We start from the raw sequence: 24,066 nt of genomic DNA on the forward strand, positions 1-24,066 counted from the left end.
CTCTCCTATAAACCGAAATCTTTATTTACTGAATCTTACAGTGAGTGAAGTCAAAGTTTTACATTTGTGTCAGTCTTGTCTCTTATAGTATCTGGGGAATGTGTGAAAGGTGGTATCAGAAATGAAGCATTGTGTTTTCATAAGAAGAAAAAGGGGAAAATTAAGATAGATTTTTAAAAGAAGCTTTTATTTAAATATAGAGCATCTTATTATTAGAAAACGTGAAGTGCTTAATGGAGGGAATTTTTAGAAATACAGACCTTGATTCAGTGATGTATACATCTTTGTAAAAGTCAGGTTCTGATACTGGTTTGGTCAGTTCTTAATCAGACACCCATCTGGAGCCAGGAGAGAAGGATGCCTGAATGTGATAGCTTTGGTTGACACTGTTCAAGGCCCGGGTTCCGATTAGGCTCTAAGAATATAGGTTGCAAAAGCTAAGCAATAACATTGAATCTGTTTGTGAGATACTTGCCAAAAATTCAAGGTTACACAAAAATTAGATTTGTATTAGTTACCAAATAAGAACTTCTTTGCTTTGTTAAAATACAATTTCTTTGGCCCTTATTTAAGAAAAACAAGGAAGAATTTTAAATGATCAAGGACCAACTTAACTGGCTCCCTGGAATGACATGCTTTACATGATTCATATATATTTCAGCATCATTATTATTTTATAAATGCTATTTGGTATCAAAAAATACATCAGTACTAGAAATTTACAGTGTCCTAAAATAATAATCATAATTGCTTTAATCTATTATCTAGGCACTCAGATTGTTTTTCAGCATTACAAAAAAAATTTTTAATGACTTAAGATTGATTTGTTAGTGCTAAGCTATTTCAACTAAAAACCTGACTGGATGGAAACCACTGAAGTGCAGCAGAGGGCAGACTTTCCTCTAATTTATTTGAATTAATTTTTTTCTTCAGCTTTTTATATCTCTTTCTATATATAGTATAAGCCATCACGAAATAATTTCTTTATAAAAGATTCTCATTATTGGAAAAGACTTGAAAGTATTAGGCTTCTATTTTAAACAACTCAATAATTCAGTCTGTCTCTACCTGCAATGGAATATTTTGCTTATATGAACATTTCTGAGAGATTATGAACCAAATGCTTTTTTCTTGGTATATAGTCTTCATGATATAGCAAGGCAATCATAAAAAGTCTTCAAGAGGAGTAATGAAAGTTTAGAAATAGTAGTTAGATGAAGAAAAAGTACTTTTTTGTGAAATAAAAATGTGAAGAAAATAGAAAAATAAGTAATAATTTTATGGAAGAATACATTATTATCCCCTATGGTTTTTCTTCTTATTCGGGGGAAACAAAGATAATCCAGTCACACTGGTAAGGCTTGTCACTAGATATTGGCTGTGAATTCATGGTTCTCAGGTGCAGACCCCAATGGCTAGTATTTTCAGTTCCTAGATGAGTTCAGCAAGGAAGTGACTGATTACTGACCAGCAATCAAAGAAAGTTTCATCTTCGTATCAATTCCTTTCCAAAATTACCTGTCAGTTAATTTTGAACATGTGTAAAATTAACACATGATAAAACCCACTAATACTGAATCTTAGAGTTAGTGATACGTATTCCTTTGCCAGAAATTAACAGGAAAGGTGAAATTGGCAACATGATTCCTTTTATCATTTGTAACCTAGAAATTTTCTTCCCAAGAAAAAAATTATTTTTCATCTGTTACAGTCTGTAAGCTATTTTTGTTGTTTTTCTGCCCTATTCTTTCATACTTAAAAAAAACTCATTAGTTTGATTTTTAAAACCTCTACTGTAATTTGGTTAGACGCTAGTCTCTTCTTCAAAATACAAGACTTAAGATGACTAATTTGATGATTCAGCAATTGGATGCAAGTTATTTACTTACTGCCTCCTCAGTTAATTTATTTTGAGGTTTATGCTTCAAAATTAAATGGGAGCCACTTAAATATTCACATGTATGGAGCACCTGCTCTGGGCCTAGCTAGGTCACTTCAGAAAACACCCCCTCTAGGTCTCTAGAGAGATTTCTCTATGTATGTATGCCCTGCGTCTAGGTGTAAAAGACCTTCCCAACTTTGCGAATCTCTCCATCATCCCTTCAGTCAGTCCAGAAGTGTTTATTGAGTGACTCCTACATACTCCACACTGTGCCAGGGCTTAGGGGAATATAAGAAATAGTACAAACATTGCCTTTAAGGAGCTTGGAAAGACAAGATTAATAGATTGGAAACAATAGGATAGAACCACAGAGAACACTACTTCATGTTAAATCTTGCACTGATCAAAAGGAATGTAGGTGTGGGGGCAGCTGGGGAATCACTGTTGGCCAGCCTAGTCAGGGTGGGCCAGGAGCACATTCACACACCTGTGCTGTTTCTTGAGCACTTACTATGTGCCAGATGCTGCACCAGATACTTTCTATATCTTCACTCATTTAATAGTGTCTAAAACTCTATGCCCCAGGTGGTTTTGTTCCCCTTTTTACAGATGAAGAAATGAATGCTTAGAAAGGTTAAATAACTAGAATTTAATTCAGTCTATGCTCTGTATATATACTCTGCCAAACTGATCAGAGGAGTCTGAAGATCCTCTCTTTGCCCTGCTTGCCTAAGAAAACGTTTACAGTGCTCCCTCCTCTGAACTTCTCTAAGTACCTGGTCTGCATGCTTCATCGTGCCCACAATGATTACTGTATTTCCCTCCACATTTAGCCAAGGGCTTTGCCCCTACAGATCAGTCAGCTATTTTGTGAATGAATGGATGAACAAATGAATGACTTCATTGACTGCTGATTTCCTATTCATACTCCCTGAAATATTCTGCAGCATGGAGTGGATACTCTCATTTCACTATTCCATTTGGATGGGATATTTAATTAGGGTTTCTTGCTATGTTACATGTAAGAAGCACATCTTAAGAAGGAGAAAAGTTAAATTAAGATGGTGTTTCCTTTAAACCAAGAATCACTAGACCTGCTATTTAAGTAATGTACTCCTCTTTGGGAATCAAGCAAGGGAAAGGCTGGTTTCCTGAAATAATTATTGCTGTGGTTATAATCAGACCATTTATTTCAACAGGACATTCCCTGAATTGACCCTGTCAAGTCCATACAGAATAAGAAATTGCAATTTCATCAGCTTTGTAAAGTTAGTAGCTCTGTTTTATAATTTACTGAAGTTAATGGAATAAATTTTTAAAGCAGTATGTGATTCCCATTGATGTTAATGGGAGTTGTGTGGCTAAATCCCTATGTATTATTTGAAAGTACATTTCCAAGGTATCTCACAGCCCTCCTTCTGAAGGAATCATTGCATCTATTTCGTTGGTGGTGGTGTTATTTATATTTTCTTTAGAGAAATGCCGAACTGTAAAAAAGCCAGTTAGATTGCTCAGATAGTACAAAACCAAACTAAATTAACCTTAACCTGGGTTTTGGATATGCTCTTTATTTTAAACTGCACAACACCAATCGGATGCCAGAGTTCATAATGTCATTTACCTTCACACCAGTAATTAACATTGTGCCTGTTGTTTTTAGATGCCAATGTGAATGTCATCTACATCTGCTCCCATCATATGAATGACGAGTTAGTGCTGTATTACAAAAAAATCCTAAGTCTACATGCAGCCGTCAAATCTGGGAACCTTGAGGACAGAAGTGACCTGCAGGACAGGTTCAAAATTATCACACCTGAAGCTGTAAACATCTTCCCTGTGAGTTTGTGTTCTAATTACTATGGTTTCAGGGATGCAGTAAAATTAAATTGGAAATTTTAATAACTTGCAACGCTCTGGTACACATCAGTGAAATATTATTGCAAGTTTAACAGCTTTACTGATTAGACTACTAGTTGGTCTGTAGGAAATAAATATTCCAGTTTAACTTTCAGACTTAGTGGAGCTACCCCTGCCCAGTTTCTCTGTAGTTGTAGCCTAATTCCAGTTACTAGGTGGTACCATCAAGTAGGTGGATTTATAACATGTACCATTCCTTTTTCTTAATTTTGTGTGGAGGACACTAAGGCAGAGAAAGGCTGGGCCTGTCCACAGTCACAAAACTAGTTAGGAGCAGAACTAGACCAGGCCCTCTCTTTGCTGATCCACACAGGTACTCCGTGTTTTTTCCCCTGAGGGGAATTTGGCTCGATTTACCATATCAGATGGTTCCTAATGAACAATGTTCAGGTTTTTTTTTTTTAATTGGGCTGATTTTTTAGTGAATGGAATGAATTCTGAGTGGAATCCTATTCCTAGACAAGAACCATTGGGAAATTCATGGAATGATAAAGGCAGCATTCTAGAATAAGGCAGTACAAAAGATGGCTTAAAACGAATTTCCCTACACTTTAACAAGAATTTAAACCTTCCATGTTAACCAGCCAACAGTTTAATACCTAATGGACTATGCATTTTTGAGGAGACTTTTTTTGGTATAATTAAAGATAGCTGTGTTCATTTACAATTGAAATGCACCAAAGTCAACTGTCTCTCTATCGCCAACGTGATTGCATGCTATACATAGGGAACATCTATGTGTTGGGTGACTACCCATTAACACTTCAGATGTACCATGATTTGACCAAAAAAAAAAAAAAATGGGGGTGGGGGAGGGACCTAAGGAAAGGCCTGCCAGGACTGGGGGAGTTTCTATAGCATTTCTACTTTGCTGGTATACTCAGTCAATTGTTGTCAGGGTTTATTCTTTTCTACCAAAATGAAGATTTTATTTTTTCATAACTGGATGCCTCAGTATTCCCCTAAAAACCCTCTGCTCAGTTTTGTTTCATTGGCACTTCTGACTGTGAAAGAGGAAGGTAAGGACAGGGGCTGGGGAAGCAAAAGAAAGGACAAGTGACAAATCACTGCCGTTTATGTACATTCTTGGGAACCTTCCAATATCCTCCACCAATGTAAGAATTTCTTTGGTGCTTCCTAGTTATTGCTTGGCCTCAATGACATAGTTACTATGGACATTAGGGTGCAAGGAAGAAAAAGAACTACCATTAGTGTTTAGTTAAATTCCTGATTTTCTCCAGCCAGAAAATTGATCTAATGGCTGCTAACTGCTAGTAAGGAGTTTCTGCACATCTGAAATGCCCATATACATTAAAGAGGCATAGAATGGGGAAGGGGCACTAGATTGGGGAGAAAAAAAGTGAGAAAACTAACATTTTTCAAATTCTTAGCATACAGTTTCTTTTTTTCTTTTTTTTTGAGACAGAGTCTCACTCTGTTGCCCAGGCTGGAATGCAGTGGTGTGATCTCAGCTGACTGCAACCTCTGCCTCCCAGGTTCAAGCGATTCTCCTGCCTCAGCCTCCTGAGTAGCTGGGATTACAGGTGTGTGCCACCACACCCAGCTAATTTTTGTATTTTTAGTAGAGACAGGGTTTCATTATGTTGGCCAGGCTGGTCTCGAACTCCTGACCTCAAGTGATCCGCCTGCCTTGGCCTCCCAAAGTGCTGGGGTTACAGGTGTGAGCCACCGCGCCCAGCCCAGTTTCTCATTTGATTCTCAGAAGAATGCATCAAGATGGAAAGATAGCTCTTTTTACCTATCTCCGTTTATGGCTGAGGAAACCAAGACTCATTTTCTAGTCCAAGGTTACTAGTAAGGCCAGAGTGTGAACCAAAATCTCTCTACCGCAGAGCAGTATCATGAGTTGGAATGACTGCCTTGCTCCTGGATGACCTGTGGCCTTGGGCAAGCCCCCTTACTTCTCTGGTCCTCTGGTCCTCATCTATAAAATGAGATCCTGGATTAGATCATTTCAGAGTCATCTTCAACTCTATCATCCTATTACCTGAGAACCATACCCTTGCTAGTCCACTCTGGCTTCTAGTGGACTAGAAGCCAGGAGACAGGCACTCACAGATGCACATAGTATAGGTTTACATCTTTGTGAGTAGAAACAAGTAGGCAAGGTTTTAAGTACTTAATAGTTCTCATAGCTCAAGTTTAAATTATTTGAGTAATTACTCATAAGCAATCAACTTTTTAAAAATACAAAAATTAAATTCTCACTTTCAAATCAGTTCTTGTTCATGTTTGGTAGTTGCTTTATTTGTTGTTAATGGGTTTGAGAGATTGTATCAGTGCTGATTTTCATTTAAATGGATGGCTATGAGATTTTTTAAAGCATGCCAAAAATCTGTTTGTACATCTCTCCAAGTTACTATATGATTCTTGAATTTGTAATGGTAAAATGTGCTCTTTATAAAAGTCATTATGTCTATTTTTAGACATTTCAGTGTTTATGAAGACATCCTAAACAACTACCTTTTATCTCAGGTCAAAAAAAAAATCAGTGGTGATAAATTAAATGTAGCCATAATTCAATGGAACTAGACACATTTTAGATTTTGTCATCTGTGTTAATCCACTGCCTGGATCTGATGATACTGATGTTCTCCAAATGGTCATACAAGACCTGTGATTAGTGATACATCCTTTGCCATCACTTATTCACATTTAAATCTTTATTAAACACATATTGAACACAATACTGTGGCAGCATCTTGCCTGGAGTCTAGGGCATGCCCGCAGATGACTATAATACAGAGTTGGGTAGAGTACTTGCCAATAGAAACACGCAAACCTAGAGGAGACAGAACTCCATCCTGGCTGGAAATATGCTCAGAATGTTAACATTAGGTTCTATTGCTGCATCTGCCATCCCCCTTCACATCTCAAAAACCCACCAGATCTTTACTACTCACTCGATAAAATGGGGAACTTGTGGCAGCAGTGGCATGCCAACTGTGTTAACGGGGTTTGAATCCTGCCTCTGCTGTTTACTAGCTGTGTGACTTTGAGCAAATCACTTGAGGCTCAATTTCCCCATCTCCAAAATAGGGATAGTTAATTGATTCAGTGACATGTGGATCAAATGAGAGATCACATGTCAAAGGCTTTGATCTTGTGAACTTACCATGATTGCTGCCTTGGAATCCTCTTCTGGGTGCCCTGAAAGGCTCACCAAGGACATCGTAACTCAAGTCACCCATTCAGTTCGTTTTCTTTTACATGTCTTCATTGGAATAATTTATGGGAAAAAGAAAAGAGTGAAACAAGGAAGAAAGACAGTGACTAACCAGATGGGAAAGACAAACCTGCCAGGTGTTATCACTGGCCATTGTCAAATGGAACATTGAGTTTCCTAGAACTGCATCCTCAGAAGTATGTTTTTTAAATGGATTTAAGGCCAGGTGCAGTGGCTCACACCTGTAATCTCAGCATTTTGGGAGGCCAAGGCAGGTGGATCGCTTGAGCTCAGGAGTTTGCGACCAGCCTGGGCAACATGACAGAACTCGGTCTCTACAAAAAATACAAAAATTAGCTGGGCATGGTGGCATGCACCTATAGTCCCAGCTGCTTGAGGGGCTAAGATGGGAGGATCGCTTGAGCTTGGGAGGTCAAGGCTGCAGGGAGCTGTGTTTGCACCACTGCACTCCAGCCTGGGTGACAGAGTGAGACTCTGTCCCTGCTTCCACAAAAAAAAAAAAAAAAAAGGATTTCAAATTATGGTAGAAAAGGCATATCGCATAGATCTAAGGAACTTGGAATAGAACACCTAATCTGGAGGAAGGGCCCAATAGGGGAAATCATGTAAATCCTCTTCTCAGAGGAGCTCTGTTTTTTGCCTTTTAAAATTGTGGTAAAATATATATAACACAAAATTTACCATTTTAACCATTTTTAAGTGTACAGTTTAGTGGCATTAAGTACATTCACATTGTTGTACAACCATTACCACTATCAATTTCAGAACTTTTTATCATCCCAAGAAGAAACTCTGTACCCATTAAGCAATAAGTCCAAAAGAGCTCTTGTTTTAAAGGGAAAGTTATTTCAGAGCTGAAAGGACCCTAGAGACTTCTAATCCAACCCCTCATTTGAATATGAGAAATTGAGACTCAGAAAGGTTGAGTTTTCTAAATCACCTAGCAAATTACAAATTCAGGACTGAAATGCAGGTGTTCTCCCCAGTCTAGTTCTCTTTCTCCCATACTCAGGAGTTATACTCTCCGACAATTTGCAAACTGGTGCATCTGATATTCCTTGAAACAATCACTTAGCATTTCTCCATATTTTTATGCTGCAGTGAGTAGATAATTTTTCACTAGAATTGGGGTAGTAGATGCTAGTCTATAAAAATCCTTTCAACTCCCTTGAGACCCTGGCACTTTTACATTATATTATTTGCATAACATTTTAATGACTTTATTTTTATTTTTTATTTTTTTGAGACAGGGTCTTATTGTGTCACCCAGGCTGGAGTGCAGTGGCATGATCTCGGTTCACTGCAGCCTTGACCTCCCTGGCTCAAGCAATTCTCCTGCCTCAGGCTTTTAGTAGCTGGGACCACAGGTGTGTACCACCACATACCTGGCTAATTTTTTTGTAGATAGGGGGTTTTGCCACGTTGCCCAGGCTGGTCTGAAAGTCCTGGGCTCAAGTGATCTGCCTGCCATGGCCTCCCCTAAAGTACTGGGATTACAGGTATGAGCCACGGTGCCTAGCCTGACTTTATTTTTAAGAGGGTTTTCTCTGTAATAATAACTATTACCATTTGTTGAGTATCAATGCTGTGTATTATACTAGGTATTTTACATTTGTGATCTTATTTTAAAAGCCTTAGAGCAACCCCAGCAAATGGGTAATTTTTATTCTTATCTAACAGGTGAAGAAATAGGCTCAGGGGGTCTAAGTTACTTGCCTACATTAATGGAGCCTTATAAGTGATAGAGCTGAATTCAAAGCCAGACCTGTTTCACTCCAAAGCCCCATCACTTTCCTGTGTGCCATGCTGCCCTCTTCTCTAGAGGGAGGAAAACAATCTTGGATTATTTTATTCTATCCTTAGGTAATGTCTTTCCCATGCCCATCTTCACCTGATAAAATCCCACCCATCCTTCAGAATTCACCTCAACCCCAACCTCTTTCATAATAATAGTACTAGCTAACATTCATTAAGTCTTTATTGTATCCAAGGCACTATTATAAGTGCTTTACATACATTATCTCATTTAATCCTTACAGCATCCTTATGAGGTAGATACTGTTATTACACTCATTTTACAGATGAGGAAACAGGCACAAGGAGAATGTGTATTTGCCTTTTCAGCATTCCCCACCAGCAGGCCTCTTGAGTACTCGGCAGATCCTTATGGCCCTTCTCTGCCCCATCTCAGTTATGTGTTAACTGTTATTTGTGTCCCCACCCCTCAAAAACAGAAACATGGTTGTGTTAGTTTTGGTGTATGCTGTTTTCTCTGCCCCCATTAGACTAGCTAGAATTATTTATTTAATTGAATGAGACAGTCACATGTATTGCTGAGCTGGGACTAACTAGTCAAAAATAAAACAAAAAGAGTTTTTCACTGAAAAATGAATTTGAGTCTTGCTGAAATTTTCAATTATTTTCTATTTGTGAATCCTTTCCAGAGTTGTTGCCTAGAACCATGATAATCATTATAAAAGTGCATATTATCTGAAGCAGATTTAGTGGTAGAATTTTGGAAGGAGGGTGTCGGGTCAAGTGCCTTTTTCCTACTCAAGCATTTAAAGAGTTGCCGTGGTAGGAATTTATAAAGTAAAGAATGTTATGAGGCTTTTTTCTTCATTTTTTGTATTGATTTTCCAGACACTTTAATGTTAAACCATGCCAGAAGTGTTGCAGAGATGACTTGCTATTACCCAAAGGCCGCCAGCCTCTTTTCCTTCTGACAGAAGGATAATTCCACGTGGATCAAATAAATACAGACGTGTAGTAATTAGTTCTATTCCCAGTGAGCCTATTTCCAACACACTAAAGATGTGAGCGATTATGGAACCTCACCCCAACAGCTTTTATCAATTTAAACTGCTAAACAACAGGATAGGTCATAACCCAGCCTGCTATTAATAATGTATTTATTATGTGCAACATTATAAATTAGGTGTATGGACTAGAAAAAAGGACACCTTTTAACAAGAATAATATGATCTTCCCCCAGAAGCATCATATGTGCCTGGCCACTCACCTGATGTACAGTCCCAAGGCAATCAAAAGAATAAAAAATCTCATCCGAGGAACAGAGGCCTACATCGTCAGCGGGCTCCTCCACAGAGATGATTTAGCTGTGGCCGATATGTTAGACATACCCATCCTGGGCTCTGAGCCTGAACTAGCTCATCTTTATAGTACCAAATCTGGAGGCAAACGTGTCTTTGACAGTGCCAATGTGGCAGTTCCTCCTGGAATATATGATATTTATAGTCAGCAACAGGTATGTGGGGTGGACAAGTGAAGCTCTGTTCAAATATTTGAAACATCCTCTTGATCTTGGACAATTTCCAAGTCTTCTGGAGCCAGACCTACCCAATGAAGAATAGGTGGAATATTTGAGTTGATTTGAGGGAATCTACTTTATTTATTTATTTATTTATTTATTTATTTATTTTTGAGATGGAGTCTCACTCTGTCATCCAGGCTGGAGGGCAGTGGTGTGATCTTGGCTCACTGCAACCTCCACCTCCCAGTTTCTGTGACTTCCAGCTAATTTTTGTATTTTTAGTAGAGATGGGGTTTCACCATGTTGGCCAGGCTGGTCTCGAACTCCTGACCTCTAGTGATCTGCCCACCTCAGCCTCCCAAAGTGCTGGGATTACCAGCGTGAGCCACTACGCCCAGCCTGAGGGAATCTACTTTAGAACTTTGTGTTTTAAAGTATTTTCCTGTTAGTCTTGCAGAAATTGCTGGAATTTCCAAACTATTTACTCATTTGGAATAAGCACTGTTAAAATGTATATATCATTTGGACTAATCTGCTATCAATATTTAATGCTTTAACATGGATTAATTCATCATCATATCAGCTTGCCAGTCATTAAATAGGATCCTAAGAAATAGGAGAGTCAGTTTTCGCTAAAAGCAGTGGGTTTGGAAAACTCCAGTGAGTGAGCCTCCCCACTGGGTCAGATTGCAGAGGGCCTGTGAACAGAGGGCTGCAGACTTCCTTCGCTCTTCAGGAAGCGATCGAAATGGAGGAGGGGAAAGATCTCAGAAGGGGGAAGTAAGACAGCTCCAGGAATAAAACTGGGGAAGTAAGACAGCTCCAGGAATAAAACTGTCTGTTTTCGTTTTGCCTTGGACCAAGTGTGTGGCTATGCATTCTTCCAGCAGATAGTCAGGGTCTAAAACATGGGGAGAAATGTATTAGCCACTAGAAATGTTTTCTCTTTGAGTTAGCCCTGGCAGATGTTCTCCCATTTAACTGCCATCTGTTTTCATAATAGAGAAAATTAAAAGACAAATGGCTGTTAACATTTCCTAACCTCTGTTTCAGTACACCTCTTGACCATTACTCTGAGCCAATCACAAATTATCCCCCCTACCCACTTGTTGGGAAACCAGAGAACAGTGCACAGTGAGTCAGTTTGTGAGGGACAATATTTAGGGATCCCCTCCTACTCTCAGTTGCCTGATCATGATGCTCTGCACCTCACAGCCACTGAGCTCAAAAATCTAGCCTTTCAACAAATCATACTTTGCAGAGATTAGTTTGAAGATACTATTAGCTTATTAAATTGCCAGCAAGTATTTCACTCTTGTTAGAGTATTCTTGGGCAATGTTCATGGGCTTATGAAGGAGGTTTCTCTTAACGGTATCACAACCTAGGACAGTCGCAGGCAATTTTAGTAGGAGTGGAATAGAGAGGCTCCTCCTGAGCTGTTATGTCACTTCCATTGTCATTAGCCACCACTGGAATTTGAAGATAACAAGGTAGATTGCTTGACTCTGCTTCACAGCAGAATATCTGGCTGTTATACTTATTACAAGCAAAATAAAATTTTAAATTATATTATTACACACATGTACTATACATTAAACAACCTTCAAAGCTTTAACATGTATGTGCAATGTTTATATTGAGTCTTGCCTTCATCTTCACTGAGGAAATCTCAGGCAATCTTTGCTATGAAATATTTCAGAACCGCATATGTTGATTGTAGTTAAAGATGCAGGCACATTTAATGCAGTAAAATCTCCCTCTAGTGCTAGTATTCAGAAGTATGACTAAAAACCTCCTTAGAGACACATCAGATTTGAGAGATGTCATTTGACCTATGGTATGTGCAAATTGTATAACAATAAACCAATATTTCACTGAGTTCTACTCTACTTGTTTGGAAAACATACATCTGAGGTCATCAAGAATTAAAATACTCCACTGAGATTTTTCCAGATAGTGACTACCCTATCTATTCTATCTGAGCATGTCAGCATTTTGAATCTGCAGATGGGGATGAATCAATAACACTGACTTTTTACCGATGTGCATCATAAACTTAAAGCTGGTGAAAGAAAGCTGCGATTATTTTAACTTAGGTTATTATTTCTGACTTTCAGTTGGACTTTAGCAGTATTTTTCTGCTCTTTACCAGGATAAAACAAATCACAGCTAAAAAAATTTATTACATCTTTTGAACAGATAGACTCAAACAAAAATGATAAACATTTGGAAATAGCATAAAGTCATTTTGTTTAGGATTAATTTGTTTAAATCTAGCATGAACACAGTGAGCATTTCCTGTTTTGATCCATAAAGTAACTGTGAAAGTTCTCTTTCTGGAACATGCTCCATGGGAAATATTGACAGCTTTGGTTAAATAATCAAAAATGGAGATGCTATTTTAAAGCACTGTTCAATTTTCACTTAAAGATAGCACATAATTCTTTCCAGTGGTGCAATCTTTACAATACTATTGATCCTTTTCATTACTGTAGGGGATCCATCAACAGATGCCCATTTATAGGATTCTCAGAAGCAACAAATAATAGGATTTGGAAGAAATAGATAATAATTCTGTTAGTAGTCGAAACCTGCAAATATATAATATATCTAAATATGTAATTTTTAAAAAATCTATGCCAGAACACCTTTCCTTACACTAGCAAAAGAATTTTATCTGATGTTAACAGGCCAAAGACCATTTCTACTTCTGCAAAGTGTGATCATAATACAGCAAAATATTATTAAATATAAAATCTATATTCTCAACACATTAGAGAAATAAGGAAACAACTTTGGAAGGCATATTTAAAAAACCTTCCTAGGCTGTGTTCATCACCATATGGTTTGTAGACCAGAGTTCTGTCATTTAAACACCCAAATCATCAATAAACACTACTTGATAATTAGGGAGCTAAGACAATTTTAATTTTCACCCTCACTGAATACCCCATAGTTGTATGAGGTTTCCAGAGAACCCAAGTATGGCCATTTTGCTGTCTCTTCCACACTGCCATGTAGTATAGTATCCCCAGGAAGATTTGCTGGACAGATACAACCCAGAAGAACAGATCAGGCCTTTAATCAAAATAACTTTAATCTGGTAGCTCCAAACCTCAACAGAACTGTAAATCATGAGTCCTTTCACACTCTTTAGTTAAAAAAAAAAAAAATTGTGGGCAAAGAGATCTGATCAAAAAAGAGGATAAGAGTGTCACAGAATCCTTCCGTACAGAAAACCATAGCCAAGAACAGCATGGGAAGGCTCTGGAGACAAAAAGCTTAGTGTTATTTTGTTGCTTTCTGGGAAGTATAGACTGGAAAGTCTGATAAGAAGACAAGACAGAAAAATCGTTTTGTGAGTTAATGAGGTATTTTTCTCCCAGGCTCTGCCAGGTGAGTATTACTTATAATTAAGTCATCTTGCTATAGACTTTTATCTGATTCAAACTCACCCCAAATGGCTTATTGAGTGTAAGGAAAGTGGCTTCTCTTGCTCCTCTTCTGACTTCTTTCTCTACTTCACCCTTCTCCACCTCTCTGTGGGTTGGGATAGGCAGCACAGTAAAGAGGGAATGAGCATAGGTTTTGGAGTCAAAGCAACTTGAATGGAATTCCTACTCTGCTACTCAATGCTGTGTGATTGTGGGAAAGTTATTTAAATTAGCAGAACCTCAGTTTATTTACATATAAAAGAAAACTAGTAATTGTGTCCACCTCATAGATTATGGTATTAAATGAGAAAATTCATGCAAAGAACTGACATGAGCCAAGGCCTGTCTCCTACTGAGAGTTCAGTTATCTTAGAGACCATTATCATCATTATTATGATACTAGAGCTTGGAGTACTGTTCTATCCCTTAAGCTCCCATGTGTTTGAGCCCAGTTCTTGAGGAAATGTTTCAAATAAAATGTCAAGTAGGTGTGTATTCCAGGAAGTTTGCTTTCACAAATGTTTTATCTCCTTTATCTGTCTTGTTCTAAAATATATGTGTTTATATCACACATATACTAAACTTGGCCAATTGGCCAGCCAAACAAATGTATTTCATGTACATTAATGAGGAAAAAATTAAATGTTTTATAGTTTATAGCAGTAAAAAGCTCAACAAAGCCCCAAACAGTTAAAGTTTTCAAGACTGTAACTCTTTCTAGTCTTGAAACAATTAAAACATCATTTGAGGAATCAATAAGTAAATGCATAATTCTCTGAAAAAGAAAGAAAACAATATCAAGATTCAATTACAGGCATTCAAGGATTCTTTCTTTTGCCTTCAGAAGCCAGCAAAATGATAATTTCAGAATTTCTCAAATAAGACTGTGCTTTTAAACATGTCTTTGGTCTCATTGGTTAATGGTTTCTTCGCATCATATTTATATCACTTTAAACTTCTTTAATCTGTCTTAATAACTAGAAGATAACCAAATGAACAGACCATTAGAAGTAAAGACACATGAGAAGTACAGCAACTAAGTTGTTACGATAAAAAGGAATCCCAGGAAATGAACTGTATTAAATGCAGCTGTGTCTTTGGCCTCACAGATGATAGAGCAGCTGAGTCAGCTGATAACTGATCACCTGCAAATACAGCGTTGGCTCTTTAAAATGGACTCTGAGTTCCGAGGAAATGGGACTGCATTTTGTGATATTCCTTCCTACCTAAAGTGCTACAAATGGGTGCTAAAGGAGAGTAGCAGATATGGCCTTGAAGACTGGAGAAAGAAATGGGCACAAGTGAGTATTCAATGGTGACTTAAACCCGCAGGGTCTGTGAACAGTTAGGGGACGAAGCAAAAAGTTCAGCTAAGAGATGAAAGTACTTTCCTCTCTACTTAGCTCTGTCACCTGCCAGCAGTGCCTTTCTTGGGACCTTTTTCCTTATATACACAATGAATGGGATTGACTGAGTTCTTTTTTTTCTTTTTTTTTTTGAGATGGGGCCTCACTCTGTTGCCCAGGCTGGAGTGCAGTGGTACAATCAGGGCTCACTGTAACCTCTGCCTCCCTGGCTCAAGGGATCCTTCCACCTCAGCCTTCTGAGTAGTGGGGACTACAGGCATGCGCCACCATGCCTGGCTAAATTTTTCTTTTTTCTTTTTTTTTTATTGGGACGGGGAGGGTCTCCTTATGTTGCTCAGGCTGGTCTCGAACTCCTGAGCTCAAACGATACACCCATCTTAGCCTCCCAAAGTGCTGGGATTACAAGTATGAGCCACAATTTGGGTTATTTTCAGTGTTTCTTCTCTGGGCCCTAAAAGTCCTTATTCACATCTTGAAATTGATTATGATAATTAGGAAGTAATTTTTTTTATCACATTCAGGTAACATTACAAATCTTATAATTTGCCCTAAGTGGTTCTTGATCATGTGCTTCTAACAACTGTTGTTGTTAAGCTAGCTGTATTTTATTATGAGATAGAAATTCTATTAGTGAATTGTTGTCACCTGGAAGCTAATGTATAATAGCATTCTGTCAGCAGTCATGTGTTTTTGAAGACAATTCAAGGAAATTTATGTAAGTGCTGGTCCCTGTGAGATGCTGAGAAAATAGTACATTCCAGCCAGAAAATCTCCCAGCAAAAGCTGAGCTGTAGGTAAGAAGTCTTAGCATGAATGGACGTGTATAGATTTTTTCCATGCACATTTGTGAAGGGATGAATCGTACAACCTTTTAGTCCCTTCCAAATTTGCTTAATTAAAGTAATTTTATATGGTTTAATATATAAATTAAACCTGCCATTCTAAAACTATCTTGCTTTTCATCCAGAAATCCCCAGTCTTGCCTGGCTTCTCTTAATCCCAAATATCTGTTTTGGCTGACCTGCTGGTTAAAGCATAACCGATTAGGAAAATCACAATGCAAATTCCCTTAACTGGTTCCTTCCCTACCAGCATACATAGCAGTGGGCTATGCAAAGTGATTTGCGTCTGCTTTGAGCATCCCGCTACGGAAGTATATGAATCAAGACACAAGTGATAGAGAGGGAGGGGCACACTTGAGGGAACCACATTATTCTTGGAAAGTGGAGTGATGAATAAATCTATTGAACAGTCAGGAGAGAGAGTTCCCTTTGACAAATGTGACTGGTTTCCCCATGATCTATTCTGGGCTTCGTTTCTCCCCTCCATCAGTAAATGGACTAAATGCAGTACCTGTCATGGCCAGCTTTTTACATATTATTTAAAAGACACCAAAATGAATTACTCTTCTAGATAAAGATAAAAACAAAGAAAATGTATTTAATTTTGAGGCCCATAGAGATTTCCCTTATATTCTCTTTGAACTGGATTTTATTTCGTATTGTATAGATTTTTTTTAAAGCAACACTGTTAAGATTAAACCATAAAAATATGGTTTTTTAATTTAAAACATTGAAGTGTTAATGTGCAAAGTATTTGTTGGCTTCAGTATTTCAAACCAATAATTTTTAAAGAATTCTCTTGACATTACACTATGATAAATTTGAAATGTTTGACTTTAAAAAATATTTAAAATACTGACATTTGGCTGAATTGTATTTAGAAGCCTCATTGTGCATTATTTAAATTTCAGTTATTTTAAACCGTAGCATTTTTAATTGGCACCAAATACATTTGGCACTGTTGTTAATGTTATTAAATGCAAAGCTCTTGAATAATTAATAATCTAACTAAATCATTTTTTAAAACTTAACAAGGAAAATATAATTATTCAGAAATCTCCTTACAGTCTGAGGCCAGTGCTTAGCCATGATCTGAAGCCAAAAATAAAAATAAAGTAGTTCTGAAAAGGTGCCTCTTTTTTTGTAGGAGCCTATTGACATTCTTTTGCCTTCAAAGTGAAATCATATTCGGAGTGGAGGTGAGCTGCAGTCTCCATTGAGTGTAGCTATTGAGAATTTAGGATTAGAATTCTCCTTTGTTCCAGAAGACCATCGTAATGGTGCACATTTAGACATCAAAGCATTACTTTACGAGCACAGGCATGTTTTAATGTCCTATTACAGTTTGTAGACCTGTTTCTTTTGATAATGAAGATGTTGTGTCATCAAGCCTAGCCTGGCACATACAAAACATATGCTGGCAGGTTATTAAAAATTTCAGCTTCTTGATGAAAGACTATCCTGCAGGCTAAGAGTCCAGAGAAAGACTCCATTCTGGGAGAATTATTAGAAAGGAGAATATGACTGTAAGCACTAAATTATGTTAATACTTACAAATAGCATCACTTGCATAGCAGTTTATGATACGATACCGTGATTTTTCTCATTGGTATGTTGTAGGCAACAGATTAAAAACAGTGCTGTTTATGGGAGCTTGAACTCTTGAGATTCTCTTGCATCTTATGCAGATATTGGTTTTAGATGTAGACAAGATTCAGTGCAGACTCAAGTATCTAATATAAAGATCATCTGGGCCGGGCATGGTGGCTCATGCCTGTAATCCTAGCACTCTGGGAGGCCAAGGCGGGTGAATCACCTGAGGTCAGGAGTTCCAGGCCAGCCTGGCCAACATAGTGAAACCTCGTCTCTACTAAAAATACAAAAAAATTAGTCGGGGCTGGTGGTGCATGCCTGTAGTACCAGCTACTTGGGAGGCTGAGGCAGGAGAATTGCTTGAACCCAGGAGACAGAGGTTGCAGTGAGCCGAGATCACACCACTGCACTCCAGCCTGGGCGACAGAGTGAGACACTGTCTCAAAAAAAAAAAAAAGTCATCTCTTTTTTCACCTATGTAATTTGGAACCAGAGTTATCTGGCTGGTTATAGTTGAGAATTAAAATAGTCCTGAAGTCAGCAGATGCTGAAAAGTTGTAGTCACGGTTAAAAAAAAATCAGTAGAGACATGTAGGTGATTTTTAGGAAAAGCAGAATGTTACATGATGGCCAAAATGAAAACAGAACACACTCTATCATTTTTTTCTTGGTGACTTGGTACCAAGCCTATTCTCTTCATCCTACCAGCTAACAAAACCTACTTCCCCCAACAAGTTCCAGTAAACTCATTCACTTAAGTACTCTGCTCGTTAAGTTTTAATGAATCCACACTCTTGCACACACTCCAAACTCCACGTTCCCCAGTCGGGGGTATTTATTTTCATTTAGGAGGAATAAAGGCTTAAACAAAGGAAGGCAAACATGTAGGGGAGAAACATTCCTGGGTAAGCTCACCTAAGACAGTTTAGGGAGACCCAGGCAGACATTTACTGTGGTACCAGTCCTTGTGGCTTTTTTCCATTTTTTTCTTTAAGGGTGTCTTCCTTTCCTCAATTCCTGGGACATTGGCTTAGTGGCAGTGATGCTACTGGTGACACTGCTTTGCAAGAGATCTTTGTAGAACAATTTCTGTGTGTAAAGAACTAAGCCAGTTTACTTTCAAGTTTCTCTGCAGCCCTTCGTTGGGCCTCTGTTACCCTGGAGATTCTGGGATGTGGTCTTGGCATTACTATTTTACCACTTAATGAGAAATAGGAAATTGAACTGGCTCTTGAATGCTTCTAGTAAACATTGCTATTTTAGCCCTTTGCAAGAGCAGTTTTACCTTTATTTGTACTTTGATTTACTTTGTCTGACATTTGATATTAATTTGGGGATCACCAATGGAGAAAAAAACTAATTAGACATTTGATATTAATTTGGGGATCACAAAGGTAGGAGAAGAACTATGCCTGGAAAAGGTAGAATAAACCACAGTTGTTTTGCCTCCTTTTAGAACTAAGGCAGCAAACAGAAAACACAATTACAAAAGAGAATCATTAACCATTTCATGCCATAGAGCTCCCTGCATCTCCACCTCCATTGTGAAGACCTCTGTCCATTCAGAATGGCCCTGGAACTAGGTCACAGGAGCCATTGCAGGATGGCAGAGCTCGTTGTCCCGTCTAGAATTTAGTAGGTATTTATTAGGTGATCCCAAAGAGCCATTGCTTGTAATCACATCATTTTTAGAAAAGTTTAAAGATAACAAGATTAAAAAAAATTTAAAAGTACATAATCACTGTCCCCAAACATAGTTGTTTTCATTTTTGTATATTAATTTCTAAATATGCAGTATTTCTTTCTCATAGCTACAATAATAGTGTATATGCTAGTTAAACATCAGATCTTAAATATTTTCCATGTTTATACATAGTCGTCACAATTATTAGATGCATAATATTCTCTCATATTGATGAACTCTAATATATTGAACAATTCAACTAAGTTGGAAATTTAGGCTATTCCCAGCTTTCATTTTTTGGCAGTGGGAGGAAAGAGGGAGGAAAGATTTGTTTGTTTTTATATTTGGTTTTTGTATACACCTCTTTTTGCTTCTGTTGAGTTACTTCCCGAGGAGAAAGACCCAGGAGTAGAATATTTTATGGCTTTTGTTACATATTGCCATATTCCTAAAAAGATAGTACCAATTTCCAAAGCAACTGGCAGAGAATAAGAATACTAGTTTTACCACAACCTTACCACCAATGGATATTATGAACTATTTGCACTTTTATTTTAGATATAAGAATCCAGCTTCTCATTGCTATTATTTGATTACTAGCAAGGGATATTCTTTTTTCATGTCCTTATTATTTGTGTTTTATATCAAAAATGCAAGATCTTTATTTTTTAATCTAGATTTTCTAGGTTAAGAAAAAATCTAGGTTATTATTTTTTCCAGTCATGAAACTACATATAAATGATTATTGTTCACTTGTTTTTATATTTATTTTTATATGTTGAAATCTTGATGTCTTAGATTATCTTTATGTATTTAGTGGTTGCCAGAACACTGAGATTAAGCATTTTGTAGATCTATGAATGCACTGTTAAGGTGTTGACATTTCCTTGTATTTCTTTGTCATCATCATCATCATCATCATCATCATCATCATCATCAATAAATACTGCAGAGTACCTACTGGGTACCAGGTATTGTGCTAAGCACGTTACATGAATTGTCTCATTTAAACTCAGAAAAACCCTGAGGTTTTTACTCATTTACTTCCACACCAATTTAAGATATAAGGAAGGTATTACTTCTGTTTACAGATGAAGAAACTTATTCTCAAGAAGTGACTTGCCCAAATTTATAGCTAATAAATGATTGTGCCTTGCTTTGAACCCACATCTGACTGCTGCTAGCCCAGTGCTTTTGCCACACTGAGCCAAGTACATTTAGGAAAGACCTTATTTGAAAGTCCTGGGAAGTGTTCTCCCTCAGGTCCTTGCCTTTGTGACTCATACCGTGTGCTGCCCTTGTGGCAAGCTTTCTGCTTTCCAGAGATTTGTGGGAAACGCAAATATTCCTGGAACACAGAGGCCACTGCTCTCAAATTTCTTCCCTTTCCTAGATAACAGAAGAGCTGGTCTCCTTTTCCCACAAGGCAGCAAACTGGGAGGTGTAGGGGGCCATCAATACACACACCTCAGAGCTGGAGAGGAGGAGCCCTGCCTAGGAGTTTCTAGGATTCAGCTCTTGCAACCCAACTGCCTCATATACCTGGTTATGTGCATGGGTGATGAGAGAGAATTTTAGACATCACCCTTTGGTTGTTCATGGGAATGACAGATTTTCAATGCCTTTCTCAATTTAATACACTATCGTGATCATTTTAGTGAGCCTGTAAATTCCCAAAAAGCTTTGAGTAGCCCACCTTCACAATCAGATGTAGCATTAAAAATATGGTAAGCATTTAAAACCCTTGTTTTTAGCCCAGTGCAGTCGATCACTCCTGTAATATTTTGTAATCCCAACACTTTGGAAGGCTGAGGTGGGAGTTGGCTTGAGGCCAGGAGTTCAAGACCAGCCTGGGCAATATAGTGAGACCCTATCTCTACAAAAAATTTAAAAATTAGGTGTGTGCCTGTAGTTCCAGCTACTTAGGAGCCTGAAGAAAGAGGATCACTCGAGCCCAGGAGTTTGAGGCTGCAATGAGTCATGACTGCACCACCACTCTCCAGCCTGGGTGACAGAACAAGACTCCTATCTCTAAAAGCAGAAACACCCTGTTTTTTAAAAAAATAAGCAACCAAATATTTTGTTTTTGTTTTAATTTTTTTAGTCTCCTATTCCAGGTTGACATAGTAAACTGCCTTTTAAGCAGAATGAGTGTTGGAACAGGCTAGTCATTCAGGGTAACTAAGAGGTAGTTTGGCTTCCTGGGGTTCCATAGCCAGGGACACCTAGGTTAGACTCCCATGCTCCCTGGGGGATAACTATAGGCAAATTACTTCAGCTCTCCAAGTCTCCCTTTCTCTATCTGTAAAGAGAGATTAGTACCTGTCTCATGGGGAAGTGGTGACAAGTAAATGAGATAATTCTATGAATTGGCTAGCAGTGTGCTTAGCACATAATAAGACTTTAAGAAATGCTACCTATTATTATTGTTGTTATTATTACCATAAAATTGTATTATAACAAAATACAGGTAACATTGAACAAGTACATACAACTTAATCTTTCTTTGGTGATTCAGAAGGTTCTTTAGGCTCTGGTAGGCTTCCAGGATATTGCTGTCTATGTCCATCAGCCATCATTATATGGGGTTGTGGCTGTTGAAGATACAGAATGTTGGTTGATCCAGTTGTTCCCAGCCTATGCTTTACCCAGACAGTGCCTTGGAAAGAATAAGTCTTCATAGCAGCCTGCTTTCTTATCATTTAGAAATATAAAACAGTTCCATTTATTTGAACTTTCTATGAGTTGAATAAAGAGGCTTGACAAAGTAGAGATTATTCTGACCGGAAGATTGCAACCCAGTGGCTTTATTTTCTGGTTCCAGTTGGTGTATTTTCTAATTAGTGTAGCAGCACGTCACCACAATCATTGGAAAGTCTTAATCATTTACATATTTGTCTTCATCTCTGAGAATGACTTAGAATGTTTTCTTCCAGTTCAGTGGTTATTTTCATGAAGCTGCCAGGGTTGAGTTTGAGGTGTTTCTCTGTGCCTGAGGAAGATGACAGGAGAAGGAAAATTGCCTCCCCAAGTGAAATGAAAGCCAGGGTACCCCTTCTGAGGACCTATAATAATCAGCTACCCAAGCTGTTGGTTTGTGTGTCCTATTGATTTAATATGCTTCTAATCAGTACATAAAGCTATGGGCCTGCAGTGTTAATTTTTAATATGCTTACAAAGTACCCTTTGATTTTCTGTCACACGTTAATTACAGCGTTTTGCCATTAAATAGGAAGCTTTGTGTAAACTAATTACTAGGTAATCATTGTCTACTGCAAGCGTGCTGTTTGTACCTTTTATTTTATTCTAAAAATGCACAGATCCCACAGTCTGGAAACACTCTACCTTCCAGCCATTAGCTCTCACTAATTCATAGCATTATTGTGGTGAGAGTGTAGGAGTTGTAATTGTTGTGGTATCAGAGCTGTTAATTACCGGAGTAAACAGTTGAAATGGTGCCAAGGTCTATTGTACAAGGCAGAGAAAAGGAGGTTTAAATGTTACTCCCACCATCTGGGGACTGGAGGAGAGGCAAATGCTTGAAAACAGCAGTGAGGCGCTATCGCCGCTTCAGCTCCAGGGTTGGCGGCCATATGGATCCCGAATATTTTGAATCAATTGAATTTAACTACCAGTTTTTCGCAATAACAGCATGGAAGGAAGGAATAAAGCAAAAGATGAGAGGAACGAGAATTGGTTAGTGTTCTCACATCCAGGAAGTCCCTGTTGGAGGTCTTTTGGAAAGGTCCGCTTTGCTGAAAACCACAGAGCAGGCATGGGCATTTGGAACCGTTTCAGAATGAGTTTTACTCTCCTCTGACGGTGACTGCGCCATTTGCTTCTGGTCGTCTGTCCTTGGTGCCCCTCGGTGAGACAGGGATGCCCTTGAGAAAACTCAGACTTTCCTGTGACTGTGCCAGATCCAACAAAAATCCTGACTTTGGAATTCACTAATTTACCGTCCTGGTATTTTCACAAGCATGGTCTGTGGAAAGAAAACAATCAATATATAATGCTACTACATCTGCCTCAAGTGTATGCATCTGTATGTGTGGAAATATCAAACAAGGCACAGCTCTTCACTCTGATTAACTAAAGTCACTGCTTGCCCATTCCTTTTGCATAAAATTAAAATATAAATTCTCCTGATAGTCTCTCATTTCATTCCACAAACTTACTCCTCTCCCCCACTACTTGAATGAAAAATCAAGTTCAAAGGGCACATGTGTTTCCTTTTGTTTTTAATTTTCAATTAAAGAGCTTTCATCAGCATATGCAATTTTCTCAACCAGCGATATTTCTCTAACTGGAAAGAAAGACCCTATTACCAGTAATGATAATTATGGCTACTTCTACTTATGGCTGATTTTAAAACCACATGGTTTCTGCTTTAAAATATTGCATGATCTTAGAACAGTCATATGTATTTACTTGATATCACTCTTATATTTTAATATAATTTCCTTAAAACCATTTTCCAATGTTAAAAACGTTTCTAAAACACCAGTCACTTGCTGCTGTAACTACTTTTTAATATCATTCCCCAAACATGAACATATTCTTCTTTTTTTAAACCACCCTGGATTATTTATCTTTAATTGTTCCTTTAGCAGATGTTGAAGTAATTCTGGGAGTAGTGTAAACAACTCCCTGAAAGAAAAGGATCGCAGGCCCTCACATACACCATGAACCAAGGACAGGGCTTGTCGGGGCTTTGATGATGGCAATTTTGTCCCAGGGAAAAATTTTCCTGCCTTTGTGTATGTGCAAATTTCAATTAAGAATTTCAAGAAGCATTTAATCTTTATCTATTGAAACCCCCAGCATGCAGCGCGCACAGGGTGAGCCTAGAAAGAAAACCACA

The 24,066-nt window shown here is 38.0% G+C and overlaps 1 protein-coding gene and 1 long non-coding RNA gene across 12 annotated transcripts in view; one reads left to right on the forward strand and one right to left on the reverse strand.

The window, feature by feature from the left end:
* IQCH (IQ motif containing H) overlaps positions 1-24,066 on the forward strand; it is a 247,019-nt gene that overhangs the window by 130,503 nt on the left and 92,450 nt on the right. For 7 of the 10 annotated variants that reach the window (NR_147832.2, NM_001322475.2, NM_001284348.2 and 4 more), the window contains 2 exons: positions 3,543-3,718; positions 14,826-15,017. Coding sequence is in view for 9 of the 10 variants with exons in the window: in NM_001322475.2 (NP_001309404.2) it covers positions 3,543-3,718; positions 14,826-15,017 (368 nt within the window). In the remaining variant the exon portion in view is untranslated. Of the gene's footprint in view, positions 1-3,542; positions 3,719-10,002; positions 10,276-14,825; positions 15,018-24,066 lie in introns of all 10 variants that reach the window. The other 3 variants (NM_001322474.2, NM_001322472.2, NM_001031715.3) reach the window with 2 other exon arrangements.
* Positions 18,323-24,066, reverse strand: part of IQCH-AS1 (IQCH antisense RNA 1) — a 118,234-nt gene continuing 112,490 nt past the window's right edge. For both annotated transcript variants that reach the window (NR_040051.1, NR_040052.1), the window contains exon 6: positions 18,323-23,187. This is a non-coding gene — a long non-coding RNA (IQCH antisense RNA 1). The remainder of the gene's footprint in view (positions 23,188-24,066) is intronic.

The sequence above is a fragment of the Homo sapiens genome, chromosome 15, assembly GCF_000001405.40.
Source record: "Homo sapiens chromosome 15, GRCh38.p14 Primary Assembly".
Lineage (NCBI taxonomy): Eukaryota > Metazoa > Chordata > Mammalia > Primates > Hominidae > Homo > Homo sapiens.